Below are 16,941 nucleotides of genomic sequence, written 5' to 3' on the forward strand. Positions count from 1 at the left end.
CCTTCCGCCTTCAGCGCCCCTCCTCACTGCCTAGCAAACTGAAGGAAGCCGGGTGATCCAAGGTTAGAGTGGACCAGGTTTGCTTGGCAGACACACAGCCATTCTGATTTCAGAAGGGACCTTCCCAACTTTGCGTTCTTAGGGTGATATCAAAAGCTGCAGGCCCTGTATGCACCATCTGAAATTCAGGGGAGGAAGCCCAAAAGCCTCTGAGCTGCTAGGGCAACAGAGAGCAGGCTTGATAACGGAGGCTGGTAGCAAAGAGCTGACTTCACCCAGAGTGATGGGCAGGCACCTCTGTGGACTGGGGCACTCCCCTCCAGCCACCAGTCACCATCACTGCAGAGACTCATGCGGTGGCAAAGGCTGCTTCCCCCTCCTCACCAACCCCCACCATCCTTCCTTTATGTGTCTTTAAAAAAATCCCAACTGCACACAATGCTTCTTATTCCTTTTTCTTCTCTCCATCCCTCCATCACTGCCCTGGTTCAAGCTCCTCCCCTTCCTGCCTGCTCTGTTGCAGGGCTTTCTCTCCCAGTCTTTCTGCTTCTGGCCCTATCTGTCTCCATCCTTGCTACATACAGCTACTGGGAGGATCATTCCAAAACACAAATCTGAGAGAGTCCTCCCTTGCCCTCAACATAAAGACTAGACTCTAGCCAGGCCTAGGAAGCCCTGCTCAAGCCAGAGTCCACCTAGCTGGGCCCTCTCTCCTATTTCCCATTCTGCTACTCTGCTTAACACATGTGGAATTTATGCCAAACTACTTGGTGCTCCCAAAACATGCCATGGTGTCTTTTGCCTCTGTGTCTTCACATATTGTGTACCTCTGCCTGAAATGCTTCTCCCTGCCTTGATAACCTGGTGAACTTCCAGTCATTCCTTGCTGATGCGGACAGATAGGTGAGTGACTGTACACCTTCCTCTCCCTTGCCACCTTCCATCAGAGAGGCTGGAAAGCAAACCATCCACTTCCCCAGCCTCCCTTGCAGTGAGGGGTGCCCATGTGAGAGACACTGCCTGGCACCAGCCCTTCCCCACTGCTTTCTGTCTTGAACCCAGATGTGATGCCTGGTGCAGCTGCAGCCATCTCATGACCATGCGGCAACAAGCACCACACCACCCAAGTGACAAGATGAACAGTGCCTGGATGCCTGGTGACACGGTTCAGCTGCCAGGCCAACCCCAAGAAGCCAACCTCTGGGATTCTCATGAGATAATTAAACATTGTTAAGACTGAAGACACTGCGAATCAAATTGCCTATCACTTGCAACCAAAAGCACTCCTGATTGACAGTGGGCCTCACGTCAAGCACCCACTACTCACTGAAGTCCTTCTGGATCCCTGCTCCTAGTACACCTTGCACAAACCCATCTCAGCACTTGTCCTGCTCACTGTATTAGATTTTCTCATTGTCTCCCTCCCCCATTATACTGAGACCTTTTAGAGGAAAGAGACTGAGTCTTTCCACTTTAATCTTTAGTACCCTGCCCAGCCCCTAGCACACAGCAAGTCTTCAGTAGGTAGATTTGTAGAATACAGGTCTATTTTCCAGCCTTATATTGTAATTTTGTACTTACAGTATTTTTATTACAAGCTGCCTCCATTCCTTATTTTAAAAAGGCAAGAGAAACCTAGATGTCCATCAATAATGGACTGGATAAAGAAAATGTATTATGGACGGTACAGTGGTTCACATCTGTAATCCCAGCACTTTGGGAGGCTGAGGCAGGAGGATTGTTTGAGCCCAGGAGTTCAAGACAAGCCTGGGCAGCACAGTGAGAACCTATCTCTACAAAAAAAAAGTTTTGGCCAGGCGTGGGAGCTCACACCTGTAATCCTAGCATTTTGGGAGGCCAAGGTAGGTGGATCACTTGAGGTCAGGAGTTCGAAACCAGCCTGGCCAACATGGTGAAACCCCCATCTCTACTAAAAATATTTTCAAAAATTAGCCAAGTGTGGTGGCAGGTGCCTGTAATCCCAGCTACTCTGGAGGCTGAGGCAGGAGAATCACTTCAACTCGGGAGGCAGAGGTTGCAGTGAGCCAAGATCGCACCATTGCACTGTAGCCTAGGCAACAAGAGTGAAACTCTGTCTCAAAAAAAGAGAGTTTTTTAAATTAGCCAGGTGTGGTGGCACATGCCTGTGGTCCCAGGTACTCAGGAGGCTGAGATGGGAGGATTGCTTGAGCCCAGGAGGTCGAAGCTGCAGTGAGCTGTGATCATGCCACTGCACTCCAGCCTGGGCAACAGGGCGCGACCCTGTCTCAAAAAATAAATAAATAGAAAATGTGTAGCTCTACACCGTGGAATATTATGCAGCCTTAAAAAAGAATGAAATCACACTATTTGCAGCAACCTGGATAGAACTGGAGGCCTTATCCTAAGTGAATTAACACACGAACAGAAAACCAAATACCACATGTCCTCTCTTATAAGTGGGAGCTTAACATTGGGTACTCATGAACACAAATATATGAACAGACACTACCAGGGACTACTAGGGGGAGAGGCCGGAAGCGGGGTGCAGGGTGAAAAACTACCTATCGGGCACTATGCTCATTACCTGGGTGATGGGATCATTTGTGCACCAAACCTCAGCAACACGCAATTTACCCATTTAACAAATCTGCATGTGTACCCCTTGAACCGAAAATGAAAGTTTAAAGTAAAATTAAAAGAATAAGAATAACTTGGTGCAGATTACCGAAATATTGCAGAGGAACAAGAAGGCTGCAATATTCCTCAGGACTTTTCTCTTGGCGTTGCCCTGTAAGAAACGGGGAAGGCGGACTGGGCTTGGGCTCCCTCCCCAGCTGCTCTCCTCCTGCTTCTCCTCCTCCTTGTCATGGCTTTCTCTCATGCACACATTTCCATTGGCTGCTGGTGGCATGTCCTTGCCCTGGGGAGCCACATCTCTGGCCACACCTCCACTCTTGGGGCAGGAAGAAGCAAGGGGCATGGTGTTGCCATTGCAGACTGTGACCACCCGAAGGGTTTGGATGTCCTCAGAGAGTTTTTCAGGCTCTCGGTGAATGGATTCAAAGATGAAGAGGTTCTGGATGTACTTCTCCACGATCGCCAGGATGGAGTAGGGCAGGTTGTACCAGGTGTAGCGGGGGTGGCCCTCAGCACAGAGGATGGCCAAGATTGAGCCCCAGGAGATAAGCCAGGAGCCCGAGGCAGTGCCCACCAAGAGGTCCGAGTCCAGTTTGCGGGCCGGATTTTTGGACTCATCCAGTGACTTCTCGTCTATCCTGTAAATCCGGATTCCAGCCAGCCCCGCAGCCCCCATAAGCATCAGCAGGGTGATGGCATACAGGTAGAACATGATGAGTGCCGACTCGCTCTTGGTCTTGGAGCGCCCAATATGAATCAGGTATACCACCACCACAGCAATGGTGGCGGCCAGCACGGTCAGGCCCAGGACTGCGCCCACCATGACCCCATCAGACTTGAACTGCATCTTCTGGTGCTGATGGCTGTCAACTTTGCGCCCGATGTTCTTCCACAGGACGTAGAGCATTGTGGAGGCCAGGATCTGATACTCTATGTTGAAGGGGTAGAGGTAGTAGATCCCGTGGGAGATGGCAGTGCACAGAGTTGGGGGCGTGCAGTTACACTGCGGTGTGTGGTCATCTAAAACTAGGGGAGACAGGTAGATCACACAGGAGGGCGATTAGCAGGTGCAAGGGGGAACAGAAAAGCACAGAAAACTGTTTCCACCGTGGATTCAGGCTTGGGTCTTCCCACTGGATTATGAGCTTTATCATGTCATAGCTTATTATCACGTTTAATATCATGGCTAAGTTGATAGCCCTGAGTATCCCCAAAGCATATTCATTACCTAAATCACATTCATTTGGTGAGTTGCCAAAGAGGATAGAGAAGATGACTCTATTGTTGTAAAAAATAGATATGTAGATGATAGATAGATAGATGGATACACACACACACAGACAGACGGAAAAAATCTGGAAGGACACAAACTAAAATGTCAACAATGGTTATCTCTGGGTGAAAAAATGACAGATGATTTTTGATCTCTTCTAGATTTTGCTTCCCTGTATTTTCTAAGTTTTCTCTGTGAAGATGATTTACATGTGTGATTTTTCAACATTATTTTGAAAAAATACTTTCTGGAGAAAATGCCCCTTTTAATTAGCAAAAGATGTGCCTCTTAAGACTCCAGTGCAAGCAGGCATGCAGGAGACAGGCGCCGTCCGATATCGGTGCGGGGAAAGTAAACGGGTACCACCTTCTGGAAGAGAAGCTGGCTGCGGTATGGAGGGCCTTCTCATCACAGGAGGGCAGATGCTGTAAGTAAATGATGAAACAGGTCACCAAAGCCCTAAAGGCGATGCAGTCTCTGACCCATAATTCTGTTCTTTCCATTCTACCCTTCTACTCAAAGGGACAAATAAAAAAATGTAATCAAAGAGTCAGGTAAGGCCAGGAGCGGTGACTCAGCCCTGTAATCCCAGCACTTTGGGAGGCCAAAGCAGGTGGATCACTTGAGGTCAGGAGTTCGAGACCAGCCTGGCCAACATGGCGAAACCTCGTCTCTATTAAAACTACAAAAATTAGCCAGGTGTGGTGGCAAGCCTGTAATACCAGCTGCTTGGGAGGCTGAGGCAGGAGAATCACTTGAACCTAGGAGGCAGAGGTTGCAGTGAGCTGAGATCGTGCCACTGCACTCCAGCCTAGGCGACAGAGCGAGACTCAGTCTCAAAATATAATTTAAAAAAAACTCAGGTAAAATTGTGTGTGTGTGTGAGAGAGAGAGAGAGAGAGAGAGAGAGAGAGAGAGAGAGAGAGGAACAGCTCAATGTCCAACAATTTAGAAATTGTTAAGTAAATTTTAGTGTATCACAACAATGAGATACTAAACAGCCACTGCACATTATAATTAAGATGTGCTTTATGGTTTGGGGTATTTTGGGGGTTTTTTTGTTTTGTGTTTTGTTTGTTTTGAGACAGAGCCTCCTTCTGTTGCCCAGGTTGGAGTGCTGTGGCAAAATCTTGGCTCACTGCAACCTCAGACTTCTGTGCTCAAGCATCCTCCTACTTCAGCCTGCTGAGTAGCTGGGACCACAGGCCCGTGCCACCACGCCCGGCTAATTTTTACATTTTTTGTAGAGACAGGGTTCCGCCACGTTGGCTAGGCTGGTCTTGAACTCCTGAGCTCATGAGATCCGCCTGCCTCCGCCTCCCAAAGTTCTGGGATTAAAAGCATGAGCCACCGCACCCGGCCAGGATGTGTTTTAATATTAAGAAAGTAATCTCGTTTCAAGGAAAATGGAAAAAAGTAAGAACAAACTGTGTATCTATTTTTTAATGCAAGTCACGACCCAGTACCAGGCTGTAAAATCAGGTAGCGACCAACTTTTTTGTAGCAGAAATAATTTTCAGTGGACTAGAATAGGACAGAATGGAGTGGAGTCAACTACAATAAAATTTGGAAGCGTCTCTGATATAGTAAAACTAAGTATTATTTCATCAAGCATACACACATAGGTACATGCGTGTTTGGATTACAATGTAAAATCTGTCTCTTGTCGAAGGTTGCAATAAAAAAAGATCAAATATATAGTATAAAATCAACTATAAGTAAATGGCACACTACAAAAAAATAACCAAACGTTCACAGCATTTACTGCATTTCTGGGTAAGTGTTGTGGATTTTTTTGCTTCACACTTTGTCATTGTTTTAGTTTATGATATGTATATATTACTTATAAAATCTGAGAAAAGCAGCTGGGCGTGGTGGCTCACGCCTGTAATCCCAGCACTTTGGAAGGCCGAGGCGGGCGGATCACAAGGTCAGGAGACTGAGACCATCCTGGCTCTACTAAAAATACAAAAAATTAGCCGGGCGTGGTGGCAGGTGCCTGTAGTCCCAGCTACTCGGGAGGCTGATGCAGGAGAATAGTGTGACTCCCGGGAGGCAGAGCTTGCAGTGATCCGAGACCATGCCACTGCACTCCAGCCTGGGCGACGAGCGAGACTCCGTCTAAAAAAAAAAAAAAATCTGAGAAAAACTATATCGTAGCATTAATTTTACTGTCACAGAACACTATGAAATTTTCTTTTTCTTTTTTTTTTTTCTTTTTTATATAGGGTCTCCCTCTGTTGCCCAGGCTGGAGTGCAGTGGCACAAACACAGCTCACTGCAGCCTTGACTTCTTGGGCTCAAGTGATCCACCTGCGTCAGTCTCCCATGTAGCTATAGCTGGGACCACAAGCCCATGCCAGCATGCCTGCCTTTTTTTTTTTTTTTTCAGAGCTGGGGTCTCCCTTTGTTGCCCAGGCTGGTCTCAAATTCCTAGGCTGAAGCAATGCTCCAGCCTCGGGATTACAAAGTGCTCAGATTACAGGCATGAGTCACTGCCCCCGATAATAATCTTCAATTCAAGCAGGGCTTCCCTAGCACTTACAATTCAATACGGTGTTATGCAGAAGACCAGGGAAGAAAGCAGGAGGAAAAGTTCAGAGTAACAGAATGTTAGAGCTGACAGAGTCCTTTTTTAGAAAATTAATCCAACCTCATCTTTCACAGAGGGCCTTGAAGCCAGATTGTTAGGATTCAAATCATGGCTCGATCACGTGTTCACTGTGTTACCCTGGGCTAACTTCTCCGTGGCTTGATGGCTTCATCCATATAATGAGGTTAATATTGTCTACCTGAGGCCAGGCGCAGTGGCTCATGCCTGTAATCCCAACACTTTGGGAGGCCAAGGCAGGTGGATCACAAGGCCAAGAGTTCGAGACCAGCTTGGCCAACATAGTGAAACCCCGTCTCTACTAAAAATATAAAAATTAGCCAGGTGTGGTGGCACGCACCTGTAGTCCCAGCTACTCAAGAAGCTGAGGCAGGAGAATCACTTGAACCTGGGAGGCAGAGGTTGCAGTGAGCCGAGGTCACGCCACTGTACTCCAGCTTAGGCAACAGAGTGAGACTCTGTCTCAAAAAAAATAAATAAAATAGAATAAATAAATAAATATATATATATACACACACACACACACACACACACACACATACACACACACATATATAGCCTACCAGAGAGATTGATACCAAGGAGGACATGAGGCCCAAACACCAAGAGTGGCTGCTGGTTGGGGGTGGTGACTTCGTTGTCTCCACCCCACTGATGATGAAACAGGTTCAAAGTGGCTCTCCAGGACAGCCTGGGTTTACAAAACTGCCACAGACTTGCTGCATGTTAAAGCCGGAAGGGATCTTTGCAAGTGCATGATTTGGATACCCTCACTTTACAAATGAGAAAAGAGAGGCTCAGAGAGATTAAATGTCTTCTAAAGGTCACACAGCTTGTACATGATGGGAACAAACCTGAGACACCCAGTTCCCTGCCCCACATTCCCCTCAGCCTGAATGTTCTCATATAGAAGTGACATATTGTAAATGCTAAAGGATTTTAGATGAAAATATAAAGATTAACCCAACAGGCTTTCAAATAGGAACAAGGTGGAACAGACATGAGCTAGAATTATAAGCCAATACAGTTAAATTAAAACTTTAAATGAACTACAGCCCATTAACCACAACCTACCATTAGACTCCTATGAATTTTTAAAAGCCATACTTTTACTAGAAAGAACTGGTAATAGAGGTTTAATTAAAAACACAAGCAGAGGCAACCATCAATCTTCTGTAGTTGAAAACAAAGACATTTATTTTTGCCGCAAACTGGACCATGAGAAATGGCCATCAGAATAATCACCGTGGGTCTTACAAGTCCCTGAGTCATGGAAGAAACCTTTAATTATGCTCAGTACACATCACTTATGAGAGATTCAGGTTTTGGAAGATTTTCAACAACAGCGGGCTGTCTGGCTGATGCTGAGTTGGGTGGCCCTGCAGTTCTTTGGAACCTGCACTCCATCTCTGAACTCTGTGGACTCTGCAGGTTTCCAAGACATTCCAACATGGCAGAAGGGCCACTCACCTCTCTCACCACTCACCTGTTGTTATGTTCCCAAAACCCAGAGTGATGAGCCGTTCCTTGTGCTCATTGAGTTGGTGCTTTGACTCATTGAGGACGCCATTGGCCCACAGAAGCAGGTTGGTGAACACCGAGTGGATCACTCCAAACCTGAAAAACACAAGGACTCAGTTCTCAAGCAGCCCTGGGAGAGCCTCAGGCACCATGGGGTGAGACAGACGTGTGCACACAAATACATGGCTCCTTCTCAGCCATGATTCTGGTTTCACCTGGCAGTTCAGGCTCTGGGTGGGCCCCCTGCCTGGCTGGGTGGGGCAGATCCATAGAACCTTCCAAAACCACAGAATCTTGGCATTCAGCCGTAGTCTTGAACTTGCCAGTACTCAACTCAATGCCTATAGGACATCAAAGAAGCTGGGTCTTGGAAGCAGAGCTAGAGGGATGAAAATTTACTAAAAGCAGACAACCCACCCCACCACACCCCAAATCTTTTTCCCAGAAAGGAAGAGGAGAGGAGAGAACAATGAGGGAAAGATGAAAGAGTACCACTGGAAATCTGGAGAGCAGGTCCACCCTTACTGCTGATTGGCCAACCCCAACCATCATCCACACCCTCTGCCATGCCACCTACTTCTAAGGACACTGAAACAAGCCAGAGACTACTTGGCAGCTAGGCATGGCCATTCTGGCCAGTGAGATATGAGCTTTAGTCTAATGGGCACTACAGAAATGCTTTTGCTTTCCTGACAAAAGAAACAAGAATAAGAAAAGTCTGCTATGGTCCCTTTCTCCTTTTTATCTAGCCTTGAATGTGGACATGAAGGCTGGAGTTGTGGTGGCCATCTTATGACCATGAGACAGCCAGCTTGGGCTACAGCTGCAGCCCACTGAGGATGGCAGAGTGGAAATCTAGAAAAAGCCTGCTCGGTAATGACATTGTTGAGCTGCGGGAGATCCAGATAGACTCAAGAATGAGCCCATGGTCATATATGGAGTAAGCAGCCACATGGGGGTTTGCAGAGTCGGTAAGGAGCAGAGGTCTTCCAGTCTGACTCCAGAGCCCTGCCCTTGGCTCTTTGCCATGCTGCCTCCTAAGGCAGAAGATAGAAAAGAGAACTAAGTGGAAGGTCGACACTGGACTCTGGGTAGCAGGCGAGAGATCCATGGGGAATGCGGTCCCCATAGGGTCACTGATTTCTTCAAATACTCCAAAGTCTTCCTACACCTGCAGGCTTAAGATGTATTCACATTGGTAGCTTTCAGGGTACTTAGCAATGTGCCTCACAGGTAGCACGTGCAGCAAACACTGGTGATTTGAGAGAGGTATTCTTTAAAACTTTCTATGGAATTGATCACTCCTAAATTGGAGAGCAGAGGCCCACAGGAAGCATGATTCTGGTTTCACCTGGCAGCTCAGGCTTTGGGTGGGTCCCCTGCCTGGCTGGGTGGGGCAGATCCATGGAACCTTCCAAAACCACAGAATCTTGGCATTCAGCCGTAGTCTTGAACTTGCCAGTACTCAACTCAATACCTATAGGACATCAAAGAAGCTGGGTCTTGGAAGCAGAGCTAGAGGGATGAAAATTTATTAAAAGCAGACAACCAGAGAACCCTCGTCCATGATCTGCCCACGGGGAAAATGGTGCAACCGCATCCTCAACCTTGACCCTGCCTCTCCTCTCGGTTTTAACCTCAGCTGATCTCTCTGGGTCTCTCTCGGGAAACTGCAGGCAAAACCTTGCCTCATTTGAATCCTGGCTTCCTTTGGCATAATGTCCAAGCACAATTGGAGAAGGAAACAGAATCCCAGGGTGTCTGAGTCAGGTGTTTGCCCATCTGTTTGCCCCTTGTGCTTGCCCAGTTGCTGTAGATCATGGCCAGCCTTCCCCGAGGTGCCTGGGAAGCATTATATAGAGCCTTTGACAAACGCAGACAATGCCGTTTGCCTCATACTGGCTGGCTTTTCTTTTACTCATAATGCACACAGCTCCCCTTTCTTCTCTCATTTTTCCTGGTCCAAATGGCACTGTCCAGTCCCAGGCCCACTGAACTCAAGGAGGTAGCACTGTTGCCACGCATGACTCTAAACTGTTCTGCCACGCAAGCTCCCTGCAAGCTGGCAGCCTCCTGTTGGCTTGATGTGGAAATGGTCCACAAACCAAGGGCAGACGTCATTTTCTCATGCCAGGCTGCCTTTCTCATCACTGGATTTGACAATCCCAGACTACAATAAAGGGAAGGCTCTCATGAGCCATTTCTAATCTCAGTGTATGTTTCCTTCATCTGTGTGTGTGTGTGTGTGTGTGTGTGTGTGTGTGTGTGCGTGTGCATGGTGCTTTCTTTCTTCTTTTTTTTCTTTTTGAGATGGAATCTCGCTCTGTTGCCCACGCTGGAGTGCAGTGGCGTGATCTCGGCTCACTGCAACCTCTGCCTCCCAGGTTCAAGGATTCTTCTGCCTGAGCCTCCGGAGTAGCTGGGACTACAGGCGCCCACCACCACACACAGCTAATTTTTTTTGTATTTTTAGTAGAGACGGGGTTTCACCACATTGGCCAGGCTGGTCTCAAACTCCTGACTTCGTGATCCGCCCACCTGGGCCTCCCAAAGTGCTGGGATTACAGGCGTGAGCCACCGCGCCCAGTCCTACATGGTGCTTTCTTACACGGTAACAACACCTTGCAGTTAGGAGATTCACTCCATTACCCTGTCGATTCTTTCCTTCCATCCTCACCATCCCCTGGGAGGGTGGTGGGTGGACCTAGTAACAGATCCTACACTTGCTGAGTGCCTGTTACACGGTGCTTTACATCAATTCCTTCCTTCAGTCCTTGAGGCAGGCTATGTTATTTTCTCTGAAAGAAACAAATAGATTCTTCTCTACAATACTGAAGATTATCAAGCGGCAGAAGGTTAAAAATGCAGGGGACATTGCCTCTCCCTGCGCCTGCCTGAAGGCAGGATGGCGATTCACAAAAACAAAAGATCTTGCTACCTCCCCTTCCTTTCCTGCATACAGAAAGAGATGTGAGTTTTGTTCTTACTGGGGACAGCTCTGGGCTCTTACCAGCTCAGAAAGGAGGCCAGCAGAGATAAGAAAATCTGGGAGCAAACTTAGCTTTGTTTTGTCTTTATAGGATTTATGGCTCTTTGTTAAAATACTGTCGAAGCAAGGCCCCTAAACCACTGCCTTAAGAGAAATATGTTAGAACTTAAGTCCCTCCCACATCATGGGCACACAGCAAGTGTCAATAAACTCCTGCTAGTTTTTCTCTTGTTAATCTGACCTTTGTTTTCAGGACAGCACCTCAACTGAGAACTTATGACGGTTAAAAAAAGAAATTACATTTTCTTCCCTTCATCTCCATTTTATAGATGAGGCAACTGAGGGTCATAACAGAAAAGTGTCTAAGATGCAGATTCGGCTTCAAAATTCAAGCCCACCCCATGCTACTTCTGGACCTGTCCCATGGAGAAGCCAAAAGCAGTGACCCTCTTCTCTCAGCCACAAGTGAGAGCTTAGCTTTCAGGACTGAGGGGAGAGTTGGTCTGTTTTTATAACCAAAGCAAGATGGCAGTGATGAGTTTTGAAAATTCTAAATGAATGCCAAATTCAACATATAAAGCAATTACCCACAATTTTTACCTTTCCAGTGTTTTGAAAGACTGGATAATATCCTTTGCATGCCCCCAAAGAAAATATACCTAGATGGAAATAAAGAAAGAAAAGAAAAATCGGTGAGACACTCATCTTTACACTTGCAAACTTGAGAAGCTATAAAACTCAAAGAAAATGTATGAGAAAATGCTGGGACATCAGTGACCTCCTACTCCATCTTAGGTGGCAGTGCCACTCCTCAATGGGGACAATGATCCAGGAGTACTGTGCAGAAAAATAAAGTGAGGCCTCTTGGTTCAGGAAGAAATGGTGCTGCAATTGATTAAGGATGTCTTCTGTGATATGGGGGTGATTGATTGAGGATGTCTGCTGTGGGACAGGGTATGGAAGTAGTAGCCTGCTTGACATTAATCCTATAACTGGTTTATATCACATGTTAGTTTTCATCTAAGAAATATTCACTGTACAGTTACTCCATGCCAGTGGCCAGAAAGGAAATGTTGAGAGCTTTAAATAAATAATGAAATTGATTTGGGCTGGTCTTTTGTTTCACTCTATTACATATGCTAGGCAGTCCCCTGGTTATGCAGTCACTAGCAGCATACGGGGAAGGGACTGAAATCATGGGTGCTATATAGTATCAGACCTGTGAAAATCCTGACTTCCTCACTGAATAGCCCATGGCCTTGGGCAAGTCAGGGAACCTTGCTGAATCTGTTTTCCCACAGGAACTTACCCTAGAGGATGTTGTGAGCAATTAAATGAAATGATCCATGTCAATCACTTAGACTAGCACCTGAAGAAGCGTGTATGTTTTCAATAAATATTCTCCACTGTTAACTCACTAATTTACTGAAATTGTCTGAGCTCCTCCTATATACCAGGCATTATTTGGGCTTCTAAAATGTTTTGGGCTTCATTTTAGAGATAAACACATATTGAGCACCTATAGCATGCCAAACACTGGTAGGCATTTTATAAATTTGTCTCATTTAATCTTTATTCTCTAGTTATAAAAATAAAATCAGAGAGTAAAAAATAAAATACACTTACACATATCACCTCTTTCACATTCTTTTACCTAAGATTTACTGTCTTACTCAGGAATACACATTCAGGGCATTAACTGTCTTGAAACAACCAATAATAAAAACAGACAGCAGTCAGTGACTCCTTGTTAAAGCATTCAGCCCAATAATAGGGAAACAGTTAACTAAATTAGCAATTATCAGTGATTTGAAATTAGACAGCCATTTAATTGATGCTTTTTATAAAAACTACCTACCAACATTGAAAACTTTTTTTAGTGAAAAACTTGTAATAGAAAATTCTACACCCACACACTTTGAGAAGACTGTACACTTTAAGTACAAGGAATGGAGGAAATACATAAAAACAATAGCAAATGCTGGTTTCAGTTGATTTCCTTACAGGTGCATTTTTATTATCTTTCCCATTTTTTCTCAGTAATGTTACATTATATTTTTTAAATAAATGCTTTTTGCTTTTTTTTTTAGAATTACCATACGGTCCAGCAATACCACTTCTGGGTATATATATATATATATATCCAAAAGAAGTGAAAGCAAGTTCTCACAAAGATATTTGTCCACCCATGTTCATAGCAGCATTATTCACAATAGCCAAGAGGTAGAAGCAACTGAAGTGCCCACTGATGGATGAGTGGATGATCAAAATGTAATATAAACCAAAAAGTACCTGATACAGGTCTCAATCAATTTAGAAGTTTATTTTGCCAAGATTAAGGACACGCATCTGGGAGACAGGTCTGTGCCTTTCATTACAGATGATTTTGAGGGCTTCAATATTTTAAAGAGAAAGGGCAAATACTGGGAAACAAGGAAGAAATTTTTTTATAAAGGTATGGGTAGATAAGAGGCAAATGGTTGCATTCTTTTGAGTCTTTGATCAGCGGTTCACATGTGAGAGGGGGTAGAGGAATAGTTGCTTATGCATCCGTCTAGCTCAGCGAACCTGCATTCCTACTAAGATAAAAAAACGTCGGGCACAGGAAGACATCAGGTATGCATTTGTCTCAGGTGCGCAGAGGGATGACTTTGAGCTCTGTCCTTTATCCTGTACCTGTGAGGATCAGCTATCCATTTACATTGTGAGGGTGAAATTCAACACAGCTATTTTAGGGTAAAGATCTTGGAGCCCACAAGGAATTTCCTAGTGGACAAATTGTGAGGGAGGTTTGTAGCTTTTTAAAATCTTTAAAATCTTTGTAGCAATCTTTTTTAGGAATAGAATGGGAGGCAGGTTTGCCTGACGCAGTTCCCAGCTTGACTTTTCCCTTTGGCTTAGTGATTTTGGGGCCCCAAGATTTATTTTCCTTTCACAGTGGTATAGACATACAATGGAATTTTACTCAACCTTAAAAAGGAAGAAAATTCTGATACATGCTACATCATGGATGACCCTTGAGAACGTTATGCTGTGAGAAATAAGCCAGACACAAGAAGACCAATACTGTATGATTCAATTTGTATGAGGCATCTAGAATATTCAAACTCATAAAGACAGAAAGTAGAACAGAGTTTGCCAAAAGCCGGAGGAGGAGGAAATAGAGAGTTGTTTAGTGGGCTCAGAGTTTCAGTTTTGCAAGATGAAAAAGGTCCTCAGATTGGTTGTACAACAAGTGAATGTACTTAACATTACTGAAACGTACGCTTAAAATAACTAAGATGGTAAGTGTTATGTGATTGTCAAACTAAAAAAAAAAAAAGACACTAGAAAAAATTATTGCTAAATATGTTGGATTTACTTGGAAATAGAAATAAGAATTACAATCCAGAACGCATGGAATGGCAGGCCACCAGCGCATTCGGTGAGGGAAGGGTAAGGAGGAGCTGTTATTAGAAAAGAGAAATTTACATAATCCACTGAGAAAAAGAGTTCATCGTTTCTAGAGGCTCAAAGCCAGAGTTGTCATCAGTTCATTGGTGGAGATGCCAGTGCTGGGCAAGTGTACTTCCAAGAGCATCTTACCTGCTTTACTGCAGTCCTAAAGAATGTCTAGTAATGTCTAGCCTCATCAAAGCAGGAGATGCATGAAGGGTTTTTAGAAAGTCCTTGGAAACACTTTGTATCTCAGACACGTAGGCAGGAGTCCCCTCTCCTTGGTGCTTTCCCAGGCCTATTTTGCCTGGGTCTGACAAAAGCAATTTCATCCTGATATCTACAGGTTTGGCAGTATTTGCCACAATTTTAAAATAAATACTCTGTTTTTTAGAACAGTGCCTAATTGTTATATATATATACACATATATATACTTTTTTCCATTCTCCAGTCATCTAATGTAGCAAAAGCACATGGTAAGTGTCCAACAGGTATAGAATGATTAATTCATTGACTTGCCTGGCCAATAAAATGCCTTAAATTAGAAAGCTAGGATCTCCAACCCACCAACTAAGAGGGATATTTTGAAAATTCACATCTGTCCCAGTCATTCTTCTGCCTAAAGCCTTCAGTGGCTCCCCACTGCCCTCGAGGTGAAGCCCAAGCCCCTAGGTGGTGGTCAGCCTTGACCAAGAATTTGCTGCACACCTAGCCCTCTGCCAAGTGCTTTTCATACATCTGTGCCTTTAATCTCTACAATGAGCCTATGAAATAGGTACTGTGATTGTCCCCACCTTGCAAGTAAGACCCACACGGCCCAGAGAAGTTAAGTAATTTGCCTGAAGTCACACAGCTGTGGTTGGAGCCAGAGTCATGCAATCTGACCAGAGTGCAAGCTTACAAGCCGTACACCAAACAGGGATCCAGCCTGTGCCCACACATCGCCCCCCTACCCTACCCCACTGTGAAGAAAGACTGCACATCCCAAAGACACCCTCTTCCAGTGGTCTCTGACCCACTACACCTGTGCTCCTCCCTCTCTCACAAACGGTTCTTGGACCTTCCCTGGCAGAAATCGACCCTCACCCCAAGCTGCCGAAATGCCCTCCTTTGTGCTGCCTCATTGCTCTGGGACACTCTGGTCAAAGCACTGAGCCCAGCGTTGTCACTGTTTTGGGGACTGTCTCTCACCTAACTGACACCCCTATGGTGTGTGCCATAGATTTTGCAGCCTTGTATTCCCCATGCTGAGAACAATATTCGTCCAGTATTTAAAGATGAACTGCAAGAAAAATGAATGAATGAACGAACGCAGTTCGTTCTGCCCTCATTAAAGCTTTCCACATTGTCGCTGTATCACTATAAGGCTCTGTCTTCATGGGATTTGGCTCCCCTGGAATGAGCAGCCAGTTATCTTTGATCAGCTTGGGCTGCCGTAACAAAGGACCACAGACCATCAGCTTCAATCACAGGAATTTCTCTTCTCAGCGTCCTGAGGCTAGAAATCCAAGATCAAGGTGTTGGTTCCTTTTGAGGCCTCTCTCTTTGGCTTGTAGATGGTCAATTTCCTCCAGTGTCTTTACATGGCTGTCTCTCTGTGTGTGTCTGTGTCCTTCTCTCCTCTTCTTATAAAGACACCAGGGCCAGACGCGGTGCCTCAGGCCTGTAATCCCAATACTTTGGGAGGCCGAGGCAGGTGGATTGCCTGAGGTCAGGAGTTCGAGACCAGCCTGGCCAACATGGTGAAACCTCATCTTTACTAAAAATACAAAAATTAGCTGGGCATGGTGGCAGGTGTCTGTCATCGGAGCTACTTGGGAGACTGAGGCAGGAGAATTGCTTCAACCCAGGAGACGGAAGTTGCAGTGAGCCAAGATTACGCCATTGCACTGCAGCCTGGGCGACAAGCAAAATTCTGTCTCAAAAAAATAAAAAACAAAGACACCAGGCATATTGAATTTGGGCCACCCTAACGATCTTATTTAACCTCAATTTCCTCTAAACGACCCCATCTCCAAATACAGTCACATGCTCAGGTACTGAGAATGAGGGTTTCGGCAAATGAATTTCACAGGGGATACAACTCAGTCCATAACAGCTTTCAAGTGCAAGGCAGCCCCTCCAAATGAGCCCCTCAGCAAGCTCCCCAGTGATCCCATCAAGCCACCATGGAGCTAAACTGTTTCCAGGCTCACTGGGCATGTTCTGTCTGTTAGCTTCACTGTTTGAGAATGTGTTTGATCTAGAGAAACACTCTAAGGTCATCCAGTGCTGTCTGCTAAGTCAGCTGGGGGTACAAGCTGAAGGTCACTTTGGATAAAAGATGAAGTTTTAAAAATGTCATCCCTGGTTTTCTAGAGGTAGAAAACTTTCCAAAGAACCTTCTCAAACTGGAAATCCAAAAATATTTCCAGCAATGGCAGTATCACTAGAACAAGTTCATGGTCTTCCAGGTGACTTGTCAGGAAGAAAATAATCATTGTGTCTCCGCA

At 45.4% G+C, this 16,941-nt stretch overlaps 1 protein-coding gene across 1 annotated transcript in view; it reads right to left on the minus strand.

Moving 5' to 3' along the window:
• OTOP1 (otopetrin 1) overlaps window positions 1-16,941 on the minus strand; it is a 38,204-nt gene that overhangs the window by 5,733 nt on the left and 15,530 nt on the right. The window contains exons 3-5 of the mRNA NM_177998.3: window positions 11,614-11,672; window positions 7,990-8,120; window positions 2,708-3,645 (exon numbers count right to left, since the gene is read on the minus strand). Of these exons, the coding sequence (NP_819056.1) occupies window positions 2,708-3,645; window positions 7,990-8,120; window positions 11,614-11,672 (1,128 nt within the window). The remainder of the gene's footprint in view (window positions 1-2,707; window positions 3,646-7,989; window positions 8,121-11,613; window positions 11,673-16,941) is intronic.

This window comes from Homo sapiens, chromosome 4, assembly GCF_000001405.40.
Source record: "Homo sapiens chromosome 4, GRCh38.p14 Primary Assembly".
In the NCBI taxonomy this organism is placed as follows: Eukaryota; Metazoa; Chordata; class Mammalia; order Primates; family Hominidae; genus Homo; species Homo sapiens.